Here is a 21,565-nt window from a genome sequence, read left to right as displayed (position 1 = left end):
GTTTTTTGGACTTTGATGGATTGAATTATGTTTGCCTCTTTGCACTGGACACCAGGATGCTCAGATCAAAGTTTTGTTTAACCCTTCCTTTAACAAAAGCTCTCGTCATAACATTTGTGTTTGGGGAATTAATATTTGCTCAAACTTTACATTTTTCTTCTATACTTTTTTGCCTTTCCTTCCAATTTATCTTTTAATTTTTTTAAAAAAATTCAACTTTTATTTTAGATACAGAAGGTACATGTGCAGATTTGTTACATGGGAATATTGCATAATGCTGAGGTTTGGAGTACGAATCTCATCACCCAGGGAGTGAGCATAGTACCTGATAGGTAGTTTTTTTTGTTTGTTTTTTGAGACGGAATCTCACTCTGTCGCCCAGGCTGGAGTGCAGTGGCGTGATCTCGGCTCACTGCAAGCTCTGCCTCCCGGGTTCACGCCATTCTCCTGCCTCAGCCTCACAAGTAGCTGGGACTACAGGCGCCTGCCACCGCGCCTGGCTAAATTTTTTTTTGTATTTTTAGTAGAGACAGGGTTTTACCGTGCTGACCAGGATAGTCTCGATCTGCTGACCTCGTGATCCGCCCGCCTCGGCCTCCCAAAGTGCTGAGATTACAGGCGTGAGCCACCGCGCCCGGCCCCTGATAGGTAGTTTTTTAACCCAACTGCCCTCATCCTTTAGTAGTTCACAGTGTCTGTTGTTCCCATATTTATGTCCATGTGTGCTCAACGTTTAGCTCTCACTTATAAGTGAGACCATGCAGCATGTGGTTTTCTGTTCCTACACTGATTTGCTTAGGATTATGACCTTGAGTGCCATCCATGTTGCTGCAAAGGACATGATTTCATTCTTTTTTATGGCTGCGTAGTATTCCATGGTGTATATGTGCCACATTCCCTTTATCCAGTCTACCATTGATGGGTACCTGGGTTGATTCCATGTCTTTGCTATTGTGAATAGCTCAGTGATGAACATACAAGTGCATGTGTCTTTTTGGTAGAATGATTTATTTTCCTTTGGGTATAGACCCAGTAATGGGGTTGCTGTTCTTTTAATCTTATCTTTGATATGGCAACATGAAGTCCTTTTTGAAAGGGGATGGGAAAGAAAAAGATGGAGAAAGGGTGGAAGAGAAAGAGACAGAAAGAAAGGAGCTAACTATTGAAACATGTAGTTAGCAATCAGATAAATTATTTGTATTACAAAATCACATTTAACTTCACCATGGGTTCCTTTATGTAGAGTTCCCAGAAAACATTACGGTTTTATTTGCTTCATTACAAAACATTCCCCACAGGCACAGTATCTCTTCAACTCATCTGCTGTGCAAAGTGAACTTTATCTGTATTTTAGAATAAAGAAAACGATTCAGCAACATCTGCAAAGTAAAGAACTCAGCTACCTGCTGAACTTGGCAATGACCTAGCCCCGCCCCTCTTGTTGTCTTATTTATTCCAGCTGACATTTTAAAATTAAGTGTTTGATACATGCCAGGCCCACTTCTTTTACGTGTATATTTCTTTTAATCCTCACTAGGAAGAGACTGAGACTCAGAGAATTTACATGCTTCCCCAGAGTAACCCAAGTCAATGGCAAAGTAAAAAATTTCTGTCTCCACTCCCTGGGTGTCTGCCACTATGTCACACTGAATCCTTCATTCCCAAAGAATTCCAGCTATATTCTCAGGACTAATTAGCAAAAATATGCACTTTATACCTGCACAGTCTCCCTCGTTTCTCCTCTCTCCCTCCTTCTTATGTGTGCACACACACACACACACACACACACACACACACGTGGCTTTTAACTATGATGTTTATCTTACTAGGTATAAATCATGTCAAGGTCAAGATTACAAATTTAAATCTTGATCATCTCACACCCATTAGGATGGGCCCTATAAACGAAAACAAAATGACAGTTGTTGGTAAAGACATGGAGAAATTGAACCCTTGTGCCCTATTGGTGGGAATGTAAAATAGCGGCCGCTATGGAAAACAGTTTGGAGGTTCCTCAAAAAATTAAACAGAATTATTGTAATGATTCTGTAATCATCCTACTTCTGAGTATATATCCGAAAAAAATTTAAAGCAGGATCTCAGAGATATTTGCACACCATGTTCATAGCAGCATTATTCACAATAGCCAAGAGGTGGAAGCAACCCAAATGCCCACTAGTGTTCGAATGAATAAAATGTGGTCTATCCATAAAATGGAATGTTATTCAGTCTTCAAAAAAAGATGGAAATCTTGTCCTATGCTAGAACATGGATAAACTTCGAAGACATGATGCAAAGTAAAAGAAGTCAGTCACAAAAAAACAAAAACTCTGTATGACTTCACTTACATGAGATGTTAAAATAGTCAAACAAAGTACAAGAGTGGTCGTAGAATAGAGGCTGGGGAAGGGGAACAGGGATTTGCCATTCAATAAGTGCAGTTTTGCAAGATGAAAAAGTGCTAGAGACCTATTTTACAACAGTGTGCTTATAATTAACACTAGTGATCTGTACACGAAAAATGGTTAAGATGGTAAATTGCATGTTATGCTTGTTTTACCACAATTTTAAAAACACAAACAAAACAAAACACTTCTACAGTCACAGAGACTAATCAGTGCATTAATTTGAGACACTCAGAATTTGACTTTCATGAGAAAAGATTTAAAAATTTGTGTTTGCAAATATAATTAATTTCAATAAAACCACATATTAGAGTAAAATAAATTTAAATCCTGATGAGTTAGATCCTAGTTCAAAAAACTGACTTTATGCAGTAGCTAGGTCAGTTTGCCTGAGACATTAAGCTTTGAAGGGATCATTTGTCCCATCTGTGTGTCTCTCTCTCTCTGTGAAGGGCCTCACCCTGCCTTCACCCCTCCCTTTGCCTCTGCCTGCCTTTGGCCATGATGCTGAGCCAGAGTCAAACGGAACTCCTGCCAGGCACAGGAAGATACAGGGAGAATTCTTCTGGGGGACTTGAGGATCGCAGCAAGAATTGACGTCAGAGCAGCCTCATTTTGTTTGTTTTTTTAAAATTTTTTTTGGAGATGGAGTCTCACTTTGTCACCCAGGGTGGAGTGCAGTGGCGCGATCTCGGCTCACTGCAACCTCTGCCTCCCGGGTTGCAGCAATTCTCCTGCCTCGGCCTCCCGCGTAGCTGGGACTACAGGCGCGCGCCACCACACTCTGCTACTTTTTTTTATTTTAGTAGAGACGGGGTTTCACTGTGTTGCCCAGGCTGGTCTTGAACTCCTCAACTCAGGCAATCCGCCTGCCTCGGCCTCCCAAAGTGCTAGGATTACAGGCATGAGCCACCAAGCCTGGCCCAAAGCAGCCTTGTTTTAAGCAGAGCCCATCAGGAGAAAGTGAGCCCAGCAGCTGCTGGGCTCCAGCCCTCACTGCAATGTGAGGAGACGGTGAGATCATACTCCTCTTGGCATTCTTCTTCCATGATGTGCTGAAATCTGCTGCTGCTCCTCTTCCATTGTCTTTATAAGGATCAGTTTATTCTCTTTTTAAGTTCCTTTACCGTAATTTTGGCAGGGTCTCAAGAGGGAGAGGAGATGAGTGTTCAGAACTCTGCTTTTTCTAAAGTTCTGGTTCTCCTTGATGCTCTGTGTCTGTGCGCGCACGTGTGTATATGTGTGTGTGTGTGGAGTGTATTTCAGGATAAGAGCCTCATTTGATAGGCAAGTGAGTTGTCCCAGAAGCCACTGAGAAACACTGCGTTTTAAAGGCGAAAACCCAACCTTGCAATTAAAGCGGATTGTCCATGAGGTGGCAGATGCTGGTCCTTTGGTGGGAAGGGAGGAGTGATTGGACCTGGGGAGACTACAGGTGCACACTGACTGCCACGCCCAGCTAATTTCTGTATTTTTTGTAGAGATGGGTTTTCATCATGTTGCCCAGGCTGGTCTCCAACTCTTGGCTCAAGTGATCTGCCTGCCTCCACCTCCCATAGCACTGGGACTATAGGCATGAGCCAGAACACCCGACCCTGACAAAATTCTTTTCTTTTTAAATAGACACACCCATGTATGTCAGTTGACCTAAACAGGAACACGTCATACATGCTGTTTTGGGCACCTCAACTACCCTCCCCATCACCACCACCACCGTATGAGGGCCCCATCCCCACACTTCCCATTAGTCATTTATCTCCACAGTCATACAATGCCATACACAACTATGTGCATATACATATATTAAAGTATAAATGAGGGTAGACCCTATTTAATATAAATTGAATAATATTTTACAGACTTTCTTGCATCATGCTTTTTTAAAAATGAAATTCACAGCAAGATATCTAATGTGACTCACATATTCTTTTAAATGGCTGTTCACTATTCATTGATATGGAGGAACCAGAGCTTATCCGGCCATCGCCCACTGATAGGCTTCACTCATTTCCATTTGAGGCCTTTACAGGCAGCACTGATAAACATTCTTTCACTCATATCATTACAAACTTGGTATGTGTGGTATGTTTTTTTCCCATGGGATAGATTCCTAAGAGTCAGATTCGAAGACCAAAGGGTATATGTCGACTGTTCATAAATGCTGCCAACTGTCTCCAAAAAGACCCTTCTGATCCCCATTTCCACCAGCACTTATAGGAGTCCTTTCTTCTCACCCCCACCTGCAGAGACAGGCTTTTTAAAACATTTTTGGTCGGGCGCAGTGATTCATGCTTGTAAATCCCAGCACTTTGGGAGGCCGAAGTAGATGGATCACTTGAGCCCAGGAGTTTGAGACCAGCCTGGGCAGCATGGTGAAACTTCATCTCCACAAAAAATACAGAAATTAGCTGGGCGTGGTAGTGTGCACCTATAGTCTCCCCATGTGTACAAAACTTAGCTGGGCATGGTGGCACGTGCTTGTAGTCCCAGCTACTCAGGAGGCTGAGGAGGAAGGATTGCTTGAGCCCCAGGAGGCAGAGGTTGCAGTGAGCCAAGATCGTGTCATTGCACTCTAGCCTGAGTGACAGAGCAAAACCATCTCTAAATTAATTAATTAATTAGCCATTTTGATTTACACCAAGTAATAACTCATGCTCACTTCCATTGGAACCTTCCTGATTACTTCTAAATTTGACCTTATTTTATTTTTACTTAGTGTTATTTTTGTCAAAGTTCTACATCCATACAGTACGACAAGGTCAAACAAGGACTTCTGAGTGGAGAGGGCAGCTCAAACCCACCCATCTACTTCTGCTTCCTCCTGAAATTCTATTAACATGACAGCAAGGCTGTGTTTCCCACAAGCATAGAGTAATTGACAAATAGGCTTCACTCCCTAAGCTGTGGACTCCTCACATTATTCATTCTATTATTTTGTGGATCTTTTTATGTCTAAAATATTTCATTGTAAAAAGTCTAGGGAGTGTATATCCATATGCTGGAACATTCTACCGCCATAAAAAGGAATGAAGAACTGATAGCATGTTGGAACTGACAGCGTGTTGCAGTGTGGGTGAACCTCACAAACACGATGTCAGTGGAAGAAGCCAGACACAACGTGTGTGGTCCACATGTTCGCCCAGGCCTGGAGGCTCCAGGCAGATGGCAGGGCTGAATCAACACTCTCTGACTCCACGCCCACCTCATGAGGACACCGAGAGCCCTGATTTTCCAGCTGCACCACTGGTTTCCTAATAGGAGCGCGGAAGGTTGTTGCCATTGCGTTCGCCTTGATCCATGGTTCTACGTTCCTGTTGCTTCTGTTCTGTGAAGATGTTTATCCTGTTCCAAGTGTGACTATGGCTGAAGAGAGTTTCTTACACCACTGTTTCAACCAATAAATATTGCCTGTAAAGTTTTTTTGTTTTTTTTTTAAGAGACAGGGTCTTGCCCTTTCACTCAGGCTGGAGTGCAGTGGTGCGATCACAGCTCACTGCAGCTTGCAACTCCTGGGCTCAGGTGATCCTCCCATCTTAGCCTCCAGAGTAGCTAGGACTACAGGTGTGCCCCACCATACCTGGCTTTTTTTTTTTTTTCTTGTAGAGACAGAGTCTTGCTATGTTGCCCAGGCTGGTCTTTAACTCCTGGCCTCAAGCAGTCCTCCTGCCTTGGCCTCCTAAAGTGTTGGGATTACAGACATGAGTCACCATGCCCAGCCAGTAAAATGAATTTTGAAGGCATATTTACAACTGCATACATCTAGCATTTATGCAATTTGTGCAATTATGATGCCACAGTGCAGGTATAATTAGTAAATATATGTTGTTTCTTTGTCTGCCCCACCCCCTTTTTAAACAAGTTTGTCAGATGACTGTTGCTGTGAGCATCCAAAACTACCATTAAGTATACAAAACAACCATCGAAGTTGTTTTCAGTTCTCCAATCAGTATTTTGTTTTTTAAAATGAGGATGTGAGGAAAGTAGAACAGAGGATAATTAGAGGATGGGAAGGGTAGAGGAAGGGGGATAGGATGCAGAATTACAGCCAGATGAAAGAATAAGTTCTAGTGTTCTATAGCACTGTGGGATGACTATACTTAACAATAACATATAGTTTCAAATAGCTAGAAAGAGGATATCAAACGTTCCCAACACAAACAAATGACAGTTGTTTGAGATGGTCCATATGCTAATTACCCTGATAGGATCACCATACATTAAATGTTTCAAAATATCACCATGTACCCCATGAATATGTATCATTATTATTTACCAATTAAAAAATAAAAATAAAATGAAGATGTGAGAATTTTTGGGGCATGGAAATGTTCTGTATCTTGATTGTGGTGGTGATTATGCAATTGTACCTACCTGTCAAAATCTGCAGAATGGTCCGCTAAGAACAGTAAGTTTTTCCTTATGTACATTAAATTTTAAAAAGTGAGTGCCTGTAATCCTAGCACTTTGGGAGGCCAAGGCAGGAGGATTGCCTATGCTCAGAAGTTTGAGATCAGCCTGGCAAACACGGTGACACCCTGTCTCTACCCCCCACCCCCCTCTACACACACAATAAATAAATAAATAATGGAGAAAAATAATAGTTTTCCCATGTGCTATCTCCAAGTTACAATTCTGACCCGGTTGTGAAATTCAAGTTTCTCTGAGGGCCCCCCCAAATAACCCACCCTGTCTCTGCGATGGGATTTTTTGTTTGGAAGAAAGAGGAGGACAGATTTACATTTCAGAGCCTTTTCAGAAAGAGAGTATCTGTTGCCTCCTTCCTCTCCCCGTCTCCTTCCCAGTCCCCTAGGAAGCTGATCTGACACTCAACCTCAAATTCCTCTCCCTTGACTATAAAGAACAGTTTAGCCCTCCTTGGCAATGTGTTCTCAAACTCACATACCAGGCGTGGTCGTAATTGCAAGTGTTAAATGTGGTCGCAAACATGGCTTTAAAAATCATGTTACAAGCCATCTTTGTTGGTTTGAATGGCATTGAAACAGGTCACGTTTGTTGTTCCTTATGGAGCCATCAGGGCCTTGGAGCCGAAGGGTATGGAGGGAGCTTCTGGAATACTGGTGCTTCTCTGTGTTAAAAACGAAACAAAACCTTGCCCCCTCTGCCCTCTCCTGTATCCTCCACATCTCTCGGTGATGATGAATTTATAGGTCAACTTGGCCGGGCCATGGTGCCAATATTTGGTCACTTTCGCGAGGGTGTTTTTGGATGCGATTGTGATTAACATTTACATTGGGGGACTTTGGGTAAAGCCCCTTGCCCTCCATAGTACGGGTGGAGTGGGCCTCATCCATTGAGTTGAAGGCCTCACTGGAATAAAAGCCCGAGGAGCAAGACGGAATCTGCAGCAGTTGGCCTTCGGGCTGGAACTGCACCATGGACTCTTCCCTGGGTCTCCAGCCTGCTGTCCTACCTTGCAGATTTTGGTCTTGCCAACCTTCATAACCAGTGAGTCAGGCCCTTGTAACAAATTTCTTTATTTACACACATCCTATTGGCTCTGTTTCTCAAGAGAGTCCCAATACAGAGCCTTCCCACTAGTATTTAAATATGCTCAAATCTGTCCCACCTTAAAAAAAAATCCTTCCTCAAGCCCATATTCCCTCTGCTTATCATCTCTCTTCACTCCCCTTCAGGGCCACATTTTGCAGAAAGGGCTGCTGTTTTCCCGTTGTTTTACCTCTTCACACTCTCAGAGCACCCTAGTCTAACTCCCATCTCCAGCAAGCTTCCAAAAGGGCAGCTGTTAAGATGAATGATTTCCATGTTGATGAAACCAATATGTGCCAGACAGTCCCTCCTTTCCATTGATCTTGAAACACGTGGCTTCACAGCTCTTGAAAAATGCTCTTCTCAGGGCCTGGTTTTCCTCTTGCTGTCTGGCCTTTTCAACTTCCTTTTAGCTTCTCCTCTGCAAATCTTTCCATGTTGGAGTTCTCTGGGCTCTTCCTAGACCTTCCTTTTTCTCTCCACCCCCTCCCCCAGCCCCAGGTCATGTTATCCATTTTGCGGCTTCACCTACCACTGGTTGCTAATTAAGTCCAAAGTCTCTCTCAGCCAGGTCTCTATTCTGAGTTCCCGACTCTTGTATCCAATGGCGCAGTCAATGCTTCTGCATGGCTGCCTGACACACCGCTCCCACCCTCCTTCTGGACCACCAGACGCTGTCCCTCAAGAAATGCAACTGTAATTCCGAAGCAAGCTAGGTGTGTCCTTTGACACTCTGGGGTGACATATCCCGTCATTCATCCCATCTTACCGATTGTACTTCCTGGATATTTCTCAAATCCATCTTTTTTTCCCCCATCTCCACCACAAATTTAGTTTTAAGCCACTGTAATAACTTCCTCCTAACTGGTCATCTCATACCTATGCTTGTCTGTCTCAATTTCATTCTCTAAGTTTAAAAGAGTGGCCAGGTATAGTGGCTCACGCCTGTAATCCCAGCACTTTGGGAGGCTGAGCAAGGCATGCAGACCACCTGAGGTCAGGAGTTTGAGATCAGCCTGGCCAACATGGCGAAACCCTGTCTCTACCAAAAATTAGCCTGCGTGGTGGTGGGTGCCTGTAATCCCAGCTACTTGGGAGGCTGAGGCAGGAGAATCGCTTGAACCCCGGAGGCGGAGGTTGCAGTGAAACGAGATCACGCCACTGCACTCCAGCCTGGGTGACAGAGCAAGACCGTGTCTCAAAGAAAAAAAGAAAAAAAAAAGAGTGCTCTTTGGTCTTTTAATAATGCAAACCTAAAAACCTAAGCCTGTTGTTCCCCTATTTAAAACTCTCTAGTGACTTCCCAAAACCCTTTGAATAAAGTCTATAATTGTCGATGTGGCCTCCAAGGCCCTTCCTAATCCATATGCTGTCTCTCCAAGTTCTCCCAGCTCTCGGTGTCATCACTGGCTGTCTTTCAGCGACGCTCCTGTTCTTTTTGACTTTGAGAGCATTTGCTGTTCCCTATTCTTGGGAAGTTCTTCTCCACCCTTTCCCCTGGCAGCTCACAGCTTCTCAGCTTTCAGGGCTTGGTTTAAAGGCCGCTTCAGCTAAGTCCCCATTTTATAGGTTCTCATAATTCTGTCTCTCCTTAACACTTACCTTAATAATGTATGCAATTATTTATCTGTTTACTCTTTCTGCTAGACAGAAAGTTCCATGTCCATGTTTGATCCAGTCACAGATGACATTTATCTTTCCTTTTGGCAACCCAGCATCTGAACTTCTTTCTAGGCTGGAAGAATCAACCACTTTATGAGTCCTGGTGGGCGTGGAGGGCAGGAGGGCAAAGGACCATCCCCAGCTCCACTCACTTTTCCAGCCTCTCTTGCAGGCAGGACACCAGCAAGCCCCCAATCAGGCACATCCAGAGAGATGTGGGCTCAAGAACCAGTAACACAAGAGGAAAGGGTAGGGAAACTCACTTCCTTCCTTTGGGCAGAAGGAGGAGGGGGGTGCTCCAAGGGTGCGCTCCTGGGGAGAAGCGCTTTGGTGCTGGCAGCAGCAGTGGCTGCAGAGTGAGGTTCTGGAAGAGAAAGTGGAAAATGTGGCGCCTGGTGTCTGGGGGTCTCTACCCTTCAGTAGAGTGGTTCTCCAGCCCTTGATTATTCCATCGGCTTGTAATACAGTTTTTAATAGACCTTTATGTGCATCAGGGCCAGGCTATAACAGAATAGCAGGCTATAAACCACAGTGGAGTCCTGGCATGTAGTAGGTACACAATGAATATCTGCTGGTTAAAATAATGCATGGAACAACGGGGTCCTAGGTGCTTTTGTGGACTGAAGATCCCTTATTCTTACATGAATTTTTAAAACTCACAACCATCTTCCATTTAAATGGCAAAAATCACAAATGTGAAACCAAAGAAAACACTGTTAGTTGATGTTGGAAATGCCTTTAAGATTGCGTTCACTGCATTAATACGTGATTTGTTTTCCTAATAAAAAAGAAAACCACATCCATCAAAGAACAAAAAGGTGGCCTGGCAACCAGGGACTGTGTGTTATGTGAAGGCTGGTTCACTTGGAGGGGAGGGCTACCTCGCTACAGACACAAACCCAAAGGAATTCAAAAGCTGCTCTGTAAGAATGCAGAGCAGAGACATGTTTCCTTTACTGAACACTAATTTTCTCATCTGTAACACTGAAACAGCTGCTACTGCAAATGGGCGTGGTGAGGATTAAAGAATGTAAGAGCTCAAAATTCAAGGTCTGCCCCACAGTAAGGGCTCCCTGAACATTTCCATATTTCCTTCCTCCCTTTTTTCCTTCTCACTCAAAACAGTGATTTGTTTATTAACTCACATGTCGAACACGGCAGTGTTTAAGAAACCAGTGATACCGACAGTTTTTTCATGCAATACATTCTCACCCTGACTTACAGCCCCCAAAATATGGATTCTTTGGCAGGAACATTTATAGCACTTACAAAAAGCACAGATGATATTAAAAATAACTTTCGGAAATGGCTGAAATGCATATGGATTTTTCTTTTACAGATTTATTCATAATGCTGAACCTAGAGGATGCCCAAATGGATAGTTTAAAGCTCAAAATCTAACTTCACACCAGGATTATTAGAATTACCAAATACACATAGAACAAAATATGCCACACTGACAACACTGTCTAGTGTTTGATTCTGTTATTTCTCAAATCTGCCACTAAAACTGCTATTTTTTTTTTTTTTTTTTTTTTTTTGAGATGGAGTCTTACTCTGCTGCCCAGGCTGGAGTCCAGTGCGTGATCTCAGCTCACTACAACATCTGCCTCCTGGGTTCAAGCGATTCTCCTACCTCAGATTCCCGAGTAGCTTGGATTACAGGCATGCACCACCATGCCCGGCTTATTTTTATATTTTTAGTAGAGAAGGGGTTTTGCCATGTTGGCCAGGCTAGTCTTGAACTTTTGACCTCAAGTGATCCACCCGCCTCGGCCTCCCAAAGGGCTGGGATTACAGGTGTGAGCCACCACACCTGGCCCAGTATTTTTAAGACTACTAATTATTGCAGTAGTTAATGATTTGGTTAGAAGTTGTGATTTTCATGATATAAACTGATCCTAAGGTACTGTTTTGGAAATATTAAGAAACCTCAGATGCTTGATTTAAAAAGAAAGGCTGGTTCCTGAAAAGTGCTTTTGCTTTGAATTGGCATCCTGACTCTAATCTATTAATGCTGTGATAGAGGTGAGTTGTTTAACAACACTGAGCCCAGGTTCCTACATCAGGAACTATCTATTAGGACTGCTAGTAACTAATAGCCACTTTTGATGCTCAGCACAAAGTTCTCAACAGATGCAGCTTTTCTCAGCAGGCAGTAGAGGTAACTTTTCAGGAACACTGGTAAAAAAGCCTCAGGCTCTCCACACCTTTCTCTGAAGGCTGAATTTTAGTCTAACCCTTCCGATGTCCAGCCATCTCATTTCAGGTCATTGAAGGCAACCCCAGCCTGTAGACAATGCTATATGGCTAAAATTAATCACCATTCCATGTTTGATGTCATGCCAGCCAGCCCTGTAGTACAGGCTGGGTATATCCCTTGGGACCCGAAGTGCTTTGGATTTCAACGATGTATTGGATTTTCAAATATTTGCATTATACTTACCATTTTAGCATCCCAAATCTGAAAATCTGAAATCCAAAATGCTCTGAAATCCATAGCTCACTGCACCCTTGACTTCCCAGGCAGGCTGTGATCCTCCTGCCTCAGCCTCCTGTACCAGGGACTACAGGCATGCGCCACTGAGACTAGCTTTTTAGCTTTTGTAGAGATGGGGGTCTCACCATGTTGCCCAGTCTGGGCTCAAACTCCCGGCCTCAGGCAATCCTCCCACCTCGGCCTCCCAAAGTGCTGCGATTACAGTTGTGAGCCGCTGTGAGCAGCCATTAATTTTCAGTAGGTATTTTTAGCATGCATTATGCGACAAGCCTGGGGCCAATTCTGGGATACAGTTGGGAAGACACAGCACTTACCTAGAGGAGCTCGAGCTACAAAAGAGCCAAAGACAATTCTCATTCAGGGTGACTGGTGCTGCAATGGGGGAAGTGCCGGGTGTTCCGGGAGATCACAGGAGAGGCTTCTAGCCCAGGTAGGAGAGGGACATGTGGCAGATGTCAAGGAAGTTTTCTCAGAGGAAGTGACTGCCAAACTGAGCCCTGAAAAATGAAGCTGGAGGGAGGGCTATCCCTGGCAGGGAAAACAGCACTTAGGGAAAACAAGGTTACAGGAGCATGAAGTTAGGCTGACTTCAGTGGGGTGGGAGTCGGGGACAGCCACGGTCCAATGAAGCTAGAGATCAGCAGGCCTGGCAGCCACTTTGGGAACTTGAACTTGGTCCCCAAGACAATGGCGAACCGTTTAAGGATTTCAAGGGACACCATGATCAGATTTGTAATTTAGGACAATGACTGTGGCTGCTGACAGAAAAGTACAGAGCCACAGAACTCAGCTAAGGAAGCCCTGGGAAGGAGGCAGTCAAGGGCTCTGGGGCCTCAATTAGGTAGTGCAAGGTAGGAAAGGTCGGTGACACTGAGTGGTGTTTTGAAGGTGGAATTAACAGGTCATGGTGACTGACCAGATGTAGAAGGAAAGGAAAAGAGTAATTGGCAAGCTTCTGGTTTGGGCAACTGAAGGCACCCTTGCACCATTCACAGACACCATAAAACAATGGGCACCTGGAAGAAAAGAGGAAGCAAGAGGCGGGGAGTTCTGGACGTGTAGTTTGAAATGGCCACGGACATTCAAATGGCCATGTCTTAACAGGTAGCTGGACACATGGGTCTGGAGTTCAGGAGAGATCAGAGTTGACTACAGTCGTGGGCATCATTCTCATACACCCGAGGACCAGTGAACTGCATCTTGGCTGCGCATCAATCACTTTTGGAGCTTTTATTAAAAACTGCGTTTCTTTCCTTACCAAGTATGTCCATGATTTTTCCTTACTTCTACTAAGAGTGGGAGTAGCGGACAGGACATTATGTAAGTGGAGTAGGGGTAAAATTCACTGAGATTGAGCTTTTATTTTTGCAGAGCATTTTGAAGAATGACGTAAGACCCAGAGGAGGTGTATCTTTTCCTGAGTGGCAACCAAATAATTTCTGGTAGGATTTGTAGTCCCTCTTCTCTCACACAAAGTTTCCAAGTCCATTTCGCTGGGACAAACTTCAAACTGGCATTTCAAAGTCTAAGAACTGACTAGCAGCTTAACCATCAATTACTGCTTATTCAAAATCCTTTGTTATTTCAGTTATTTATAGGACTTGCTATTGTCCATTCACTTCTGATGACTCTGTTGTCCCCACTGGAGAAATAAGTTCTTGGCAAGACTGATTTTCTCTTGATTTGAATTTATAAATTGCCTAATTTCATGACCTTAAAGTTTGTATTTTTACCACTAGGTCAGAAATAGTAACAGATGAAGTAAAGGACGTGGTAATCTTTACAAACTCTTTCCTCCCCTCTAAAGATTTCATTACATTTTATAATTAGTTTATAAATGTGGTAATACTCTGAACTTCACACCTCTCATGAAGCAGTGGTGTAAGAAATAATTCAAGGGCTAAAATACGTAAAAGCAAAAACATCAAGAATGGGGCCCACTGGCTTCCTGAAGATTAAGTTTTGAGATGTGGAATCTCAGCTCACCTAAACCCAGAATTTAGATTTTTTTCTCTGCATTCTGTTCCATTATCTTGGTCCATTTACATTTTTGATCCACTACCAAACCTAAAGTAATATTTATAAAATGTCCATAGTGTCTATTCCTCATTCACCCATTCTTTTTTTTTTTTTTTTTTTTTTGAGACAGGATCTCGCTGTTGCCCAGGCTAGAGTGCAGTGGCACAATCATGGCTCACTGCAGTCTCAACCTCCTGGGCTCGAGCAGTCCTCCCACCTCAGCCTCCCAAGTAGCTAGGACTACAGGTGTGTGCCACCATGCCCAACCAATTTTTTGTATTTTTTGTAAAGATGGGGTTTTGCCATGTTGCCCAGGCTGGTCTTGAACTCCTGAGCTCAAGCAAGCCTCCCGTCTTGGCCTCCCAAAGTGCTGGGATTACAAGCATGAGCCACTGCACCTGGCTCCCACTTTTTTTAGACACGGTGTTGCTCTGTCACCCAGGCTGGAATGCAGTGGCACAATCCTAGCTCACTGCAGACTTGACCTCCTGGGCTCAAGCAATTCTCCCTCCATCAGCTTCTGAATAGCTGCAACTACAGGCGTGTGCTACCATGCCTGGTTAATATTTTTTAGTAGAGAAGGAGTCTTCCTATATTGCCCAGGTTGGTCTCAAATTCCTGGGCTCAAGCGATCATTCACCCATTCCTAATCCTGCTTTTTACCCTGAACCATAATTTACTAACAGCAACTGCAGAATTAAAAGGTCCACAGAGAGCACCTCGGGCAGCCCCTTGGCTTGACACAGGAGACAGCTGAAGCTCAAAGCATCATGTCGCCCAGGCTGTGAAGCAGCAGAGCCCAGTCCACCTGCCTGGTGCTTCTGGCTGCACTGGGGAATGAAGGCAGGAGCCATTGTAAGGCTTTGAGGATTTCAGCATTAGTTCCCGTCTCCTTCCAGAGGAGATACTGATGGGAAACAGCTCTGTCTTCCTTCAGCATCGACCACCGCCTCCTCCTCAAACATGGAGAAAGTGGAGCCACCAGACAGGGGTTTCATCACTTTCCATTTCTAACTCACCCCTTCTCATGTCTTCATTTCCTGTCATCAATGTCTGGGTTTTGTAAACTCCACCTTTCTAAGGCTCACCCTCCCTGAGTGCTTAATTACATTTCCTTCCTCTCCGGGAGGGAGTACGTCCCACTCTTCCATTACTGATCTGCTCCCTCCGTAACGCTAATATCTCCCTTTGCTCTCTCTCCTTAGCCTACACATTGGCCCCTCTATATTCCCAACCTAAGCCAACAATCCTACTATCCTGTCTCCTCTTCAGAAACTCCCCCCTTGTTTTCTTAATCATGAAGTTTATTCAAAAAAGCCAACACTTCTTGCTATTCATTCATTGACCCAACACAATCTTATCCAGGATCCCTCTTTCACTCCTACAGAAAATGCTCTTGCAAAGATCAGCACAGATCTGACTGCCATATTCCAAAGCTTCTCGATTCATCTTACTTAACCACGAAACATGTCAGGCTTGGTCACCTCCTACTTTTGGGGTTTCTGTGATACCAACAATTTCACCTAGAACTTCTCTTCTGCTTAGCCTTCAAATTTTGGGCTTCCCTGTTGTTTGAGTAACTTTCTTCCTTGCCCATTGTCCAATCTTTAAACATCATATAAATATATAATGCATGGGTCTGATTGTGTTTTACTTCCACTCCAGACCCTTCTCCTGGGTTATAGTTCTATTTAATAAGTGTCCAATCAGAAGGCCCTCAGACATTTCATGTTCAACGCACTCAAAACTGAAATCCTCCCTCTTTGCTCCTACCACCCCATTTCTTCTCCTGTCCTCCTTTAACTAATGGGATCAACCCATGTTTTCGGGCCACACACACAAAGGAATACACACGCCTTCGTCTCTAAGTCACTTTCTGACCAGTTTACTTCCGCTTTGTTTCTCATACGTATCCTGGCCCACCACTGCCAACCTCAGGGTGACAGCCCAGGACAGGCCCTAGCTCCTCGCCTAGAGAACTGATTGATCTCCTCTGGTACTCTCTCACCAGATGGCTTGACTGTCTAAAATTTACATCTTAAATCACCTCCTGGTTTAAAAGAAGTAAACCCAGCTAACTATATGATGAAGTGTGACCCCTGGGAGGGCACACACATTTCAATTAGGTTCAGTACTAACCTACATTTTTCAGTTTCCTCTGTATCCATCCTGTTTTCCAGGCACGTGGAACTTCCAGTTCCTTCTGGATCCACTTTCACTGGTGTCCCACTGTCATTTCCATCAGGGCACACTCTTCTTCTCTCCTGTACTTCCTGAGCACTCCTCCCGTGAGCGCCCTCCTGCCACTACCTGGAGGCAAATGCTCTGAATGCCACAGTCCCGAGGCACTCACGAATGCTCACACTGCGGTGACTGTCCCCACAGAACACCGTTCACACCCTGAGCACTGTTAGGAACTCCACTGCTGGGGAAGCCAGATGACTGGAAGGCTGTGTGTAGGCGAGGAGGCCTCATCGCCTGAAACTCCCAGGCAACAGGTGCGACAGAAAAATGATATACTGACAGGAAAAGTTTTGTGAGAGCTTTAATGGCACAAAATGTTTATAGCTACAAGTTATACATGTATTGTAAACTGTATATAACGATACAAAGTGCTAACTAAAATAGATGAAGAATGCATAATCACTTTGGCTCAGTTAATTCCAATAATTTCCACAACGGGTTCATGAAAAAACTTATCTGACTGGCTAAGTCTTCAATTCTCATTTTTTTAGAATAGTAAATATTTTTACTGCAATCACGGGAACTTGTTGCACTTTCCAATGTGCAAGTTTGTGCAGTTTTGCTCTTGATTCTATTTACAAACATCTTGAGCCAGTTTTCATCAAACATATGAAAAATGAAGCCTGCCTTTTTGTCCCCAAATTGTAAACAGGTGTAAAGCTTTTTAAACATTAACCTCACAATTTCAACTATTAATTGTTGAATTCTCCTTTCCAAACCACAATGTTTTCGTTCAACACAAATCTGGGTGTAGCAGTAAAACGTTCATCCCATGTGTTAGGGCTACAGATACATACTACATGCTCTCATAATAAATTCTACTGTGATGATGTATTCACGTTTTAAGTAATTTTCCATAATTTCACTGATGCTTTAAGAAAAAGGGCAACACTATGTTTCTTTTTAACGCTGAAAGAAATCATAAATATACCCAGTTTCAGTGGCACCACTGATAGAACTGCTGCTGAACTTGGAAAGAGCACAATGCACTAGCTGTAAGAAGTCACTTTCAGGTAAAGTGTAATTTTACTTTTCCCCCCTGTAATACCAATTGTAATAGAAATTGCATACTGTAGCAGTTTAGCTAGTCAGTTCTCCTAACTTTCCAGTCTTTCCAATTTTATTCAGGCTTTTCAAAAATCAGTGAGCCATCAGATTTACTTTCTTCCCAAAGAAATTCAAATATGAACACTTGAAATAAATAGGTTATAGAAGGCAAATCAAGTGTTACCAGGTTTAAGAGTAAGACAGAAACATGGTCTAGGAAAAAGATGTCCAAAATTATTTAGACATCAAATGCTAGAAAGAAAAAAGAAAATTACTTTCAAAACTAGGATATATCATCTTTCTTAAAGATAGCCAGCTATATTCTTGAAAAAAGATAAAAATTTTGTTTAATCTATATGTTATTTTCCACTATAACACATCAATTTTACAAATGTTGATGTGAGAAAAGAGTTAGTTTCTGCAAACTGGCAAACCTGTCTGTCATAGTGTTTTTATTCAAGTTGACCTGGTGCACTTTATAGATTGCTAGTTTTAAAATTAACAACGGTTCTCTAAATAGTCAATATCAATGTCTATATCATAAACAGTAATTATTTATATATAAAACATGTGGTATCCTTCAGAGTCATGCTAGATGTTCTGAAATCCAAGAAAATCTACTCGAGATAACTGGTCATCCTGATGCTTTCTAACAATTTGGTCCTAAAGCTTCACATTTTAGAAATGAACGAACAAGTATATCACTGAAGGAATCTGTTGAGTGTTCTGAACTTTAAGAGTTTACCATAACTGAAAAGACAGCTACATGAGAAAATGACCAGTGCCTGCAGTCGCAGGAATCACCTTGGGAAGACTGTACAGTAAACATTATTCAGTGAGAGATCAGAAGGAAACAAATGGCATCTTTTCAGAACGCTGTCAACTGTTCCCACAACCCAAGTCTGTTTTTCCAAGTTGCACAAGTGCTTGGAATAACTCTGAAACAATTCTCTTCAGAGTTTAAAGGCTTCAGAGTATAGGTGATGCTTCCTAAAACAAGAAGCCTGTATTAACATCACAAATTGGAACTCATTCCAAAGCCTCTTCTTAGAGAAAAAAAAATAAAGAAATAAAAAATAAAAAATGTAAAGAAGGTCATGAAAAATTCACATGCAGCTAATTATCGTAAAAAATATCAAACACACACGCAAAAATCTCAAAAAGCAATTTCATATATTTCTAAGCCTGAGACGTTCCTTATCAGAAAGAAAGATTCTACACCATAGAAAAGACAGCATTACAACATACTAGTATGAAAATCTGCTGATGTATTTTACTTCTTATTCTATTTCATACCTATCATTTATACAGTTTGCCTCCTATAAATTAAAAGACGCTATTAGGAGGCTTAGACAAAAAAGTGGCTCCAAAGCTGGTTTAAAATATTTTTTTTATTGCCCAGGATATTTTTTTGTTGTGCCTTGCCTTTTTTTTTTGTTTTGTTTTCTTTTTAATAACTATCAACTCAAACTTAGGGAAACTTGCCTTTGTCTTGGGGGAAAAAAAACAACTAGACAATAAAGCTTCTTTTACATCATTTGCTAACCTGATCTCGTTTTAAGAGAGAGATGGTAGTTATGTTGCAAGAGTAAAATTTATACCATGAATGATACAGGTCTAGTCTGGTGGCACTAATTAGAGATAATAGCATTGCTGACAAAATTATAATCTGCTGGTGGCATTTGCGGAAAAGAAGCCCTTGCAAATTTCTAAACAACAGTAAACTCTGTTAGGAAATTCTAAAATGTCTTCAGGCCAAAAAGGGTATAAGGTTAGTAAAATGCCTCAACAGAGTTTGAATAAAATATTGAATTTGAGAGTTACTGGAATTGGATATGTAAAAACAGGGTGGTAGGTTGGGTCATGCTTACAATGGTCTCAAGTTCAAATAAGCTACTGTGACAATACACCACTTCACAGGTCACACGCATTTCCAGGGGCTTTTCCTTTCCCTCAGTAGGTGCTGGCAGAGGGTGTGCTCAGTCGCTTTCCAATATAGATGCTGAAAGGAAGCAGAAGCATCATGTTTCACCTGTTTCAACAGTTCTATACCAGCTTGTCCACAGGTTGAACTCTACTTAAAACTCTTCAGTCTTTGTAAAAGGCTCTAAAGGTTTGTGGGTACCGCTCCCCAAACACCGTGAAATCATCACTGACTTTCTTAAAACCAGTCACCAGCCCGGCCAAACTGGTTTTATATGAGTTTGTTTACTCATTAAATATCGGGGCTCGACAGCAAAGGGGTAGTGATTAGACAAAGTAAAGCCAGAGAGAACAGATCCCTCCACAGAGTAAATAAAGCAGCCCAACTCCTTCAAGATGTTCCTCTTTGGTGGACAGAAGGTTCTACTGACATTTCAGACACAAAAATATAGTAATATGTGAAATTATTCTGGTGCTCTATGTAGGACAAAAGAAAAAAAAAACCTTAAAAGCTGCCAGTGCTTTAAAGACAGCTCTTACTAATAACTCCTAAGGATTAGGGGCCTTATAATACTTTTTCATGCCAAGAAAGTATTTGGCCTCTTCAACAGCAAAAGCAGAAGGGAAGTTAAGGAAAGTATGTAACTAGCTTCACCTCCAGTGCAATTAAAGCAACGAACTTTTTAAACACTCTTTTTACATTCATCTATAGCAATAGTTATACTTACAGCCAAGACAAACAATCTGAAGATGACTGAAAGAGAGACGGCAAGGTATAGACACCAATCGCTTAAGGGCAATGAACTGCTGTATAGGCAGCAATGTATTAAACTCCTACACCTGCCCCACATCAACCCCCACGCAACAGTCACACAGTCCCCTTCTGCACAAACCCCTTCTAGGTTGCTGTTTGTTGATTACTGTCCTTGCCCTCACAAAAGCAGATCAAGCACCCAAGAGAGACAAGACGGGTGTGTGGAAAGCTGTATGCAAGTTTCTGAGGTCGTGACTAAGAATCTCTCTCCAATATGCTGAGCTCCTTAAAGGGAAGAAAAAGGATGACCCCATCTTCTGCATATCTTATACTGAAAATGACCCACTGGGCATGCTTAGAGCACAACATACGTCTTGAAAAAAATTAACAGCTACTGTTTAACTCCTAAAATCTTTCAGAAGTGTAATTCCTCAATTGTTTAAATCAAGGAAAAAAAGCAATTTATTTAAAAGATGTGGCTAAGAAACTAATGAATTACACGTAAATATGAGGTTGATTTTAGCAAAATAAATGAAAATACTACAAAGTTAAAAAAGGAAAAAATTAGCACCAATCAACCTACCAGTTTCATTAAAAAAAACTATTCAATGTAATCATGTATTTTCCCATATGAAAAAAAGGTATTTGCACTGACCACAAAATGTACATGCTAAAGATTAGTTTAGTTCATAAATTACTCAAGATTAAATATTACACAACAAAACCCAAAAAGAAAAATCAATCACAGAGGAGTCCGCTTACATTTGATCATTTAGGGGATTATTATGAACATCTTCTTTTTTTTTTTTTTTTTTCCGAGATGGAGTCTCACTCTATCCCCCAGGCTGGAGTGCAGTGGCATGATCTCGGCTCACTGCAATTTCCGCCTCCCATGTTCAAGCGATTCTCCTGCCTCAGCCTCCCAAGTAGCTGGGACCACAGGCATGTACCACCATGGCCAGCTAATTTTTGTATTTTTAGTAGAGACCGGGTTTCACCATGTTGGCCAGGCTGGTCTTGAACTCCTGGCCTCAGGTCATCCACCCATCTTGGCCTCCCAAAGTGCTGGGATTACTGGCATGAGCCACCACACCAGGCCAAACATCTTATTTTCAAATAAGAAAACACACTCTACTATTATTAAAAATGCTTATTTGTAGAACAATTGTGCACCCACTTTTTTAAGTTCACCTTATTTGCACTAAAACATTGAAAGTAAAGCAATAAAAACTGCTTTCACATACATTTCTTCAATCTGAAAATAAGAGGATAAAATGAATGGAAAAAACTTCAGGAGTTGACCGGTACTTACCCTAGCCCCAAAGCCAAAACATGAGAAAGGAAGAGAGATGGAATGAACACCTTCAGAAATTCTGCGGAGAAAATACCCCCTTTCTTCATGGCTCCACTTTTCCTCATGCTTAAAGACACAGAACGTTTAGGGTGTCTGAAGTGGAACTCCCTGAGAAAGAAATTCAGAGGCAGATGTCATTTGCTGAAAAT

The 21,565-nt window shown here is 42.3% G+C and overlaps 1 protein-coding gene across 2 annotated transcripts in view, besides 1 other annotated feature; it reads right to left on the bottom strand.

The window, feature by feature from the left end:
* Window positions 5,464-5,758: a silencer, noted in NCBI's record as "tiled region #1267; K562 Repressive non-DNase unmatched - State 7:EnhWF". NCBI's record gives its function as "represses a minimal TATA promoter and a strong SV40 promoter by Sharpr-MPRA in K562 cells {active_cell/tissue: K562}" and the evidence as "EXISTENCE:reporter gene assay evidence [ECO:0000049][PMID:27701403]".
* Window positions 16,624-21,565, bottom strand: part of BNIP3L (BCL2 interacting protein 3 like) — a 30,074-nt gene continuing 25,132 nt past the window's right edge. For both annotated transcript variants that reach the window (NM_004331.3, NM_001330491.2), the window contains exons 5-6: window positions 21,375-21,524; window positions 16,624-19,387 (exon numbers count right to left, since the gene is read on the bottom strand). In NM_004331.3, coding sequence (NP_004322.1) covers window positions 19,339-19,387; window positions 21,375-21,524 — 199 coding nt within the window. In that variant the 3' untranslated portion in view covers window positions 16,624-19,338. The remainder of the gene's footprint in view (window positions 19,388-21,374; window positions 21,525-21,565) is intronic.

This window comes from Homo sapiens, chromosome 8 (assembly GCF_000001405.40).
Source record: "Homo sapiens chromosome 8, GRCh38.p14 Primary Assembly".
NCBI lineage: Eukaryota > Metazoa > Chordata > Mammalia > Primates > Hominidae > Homo > Homo sapiens.
This window is presented reverse-complemented; position numbering and strand designations above follow the sequence as displayed.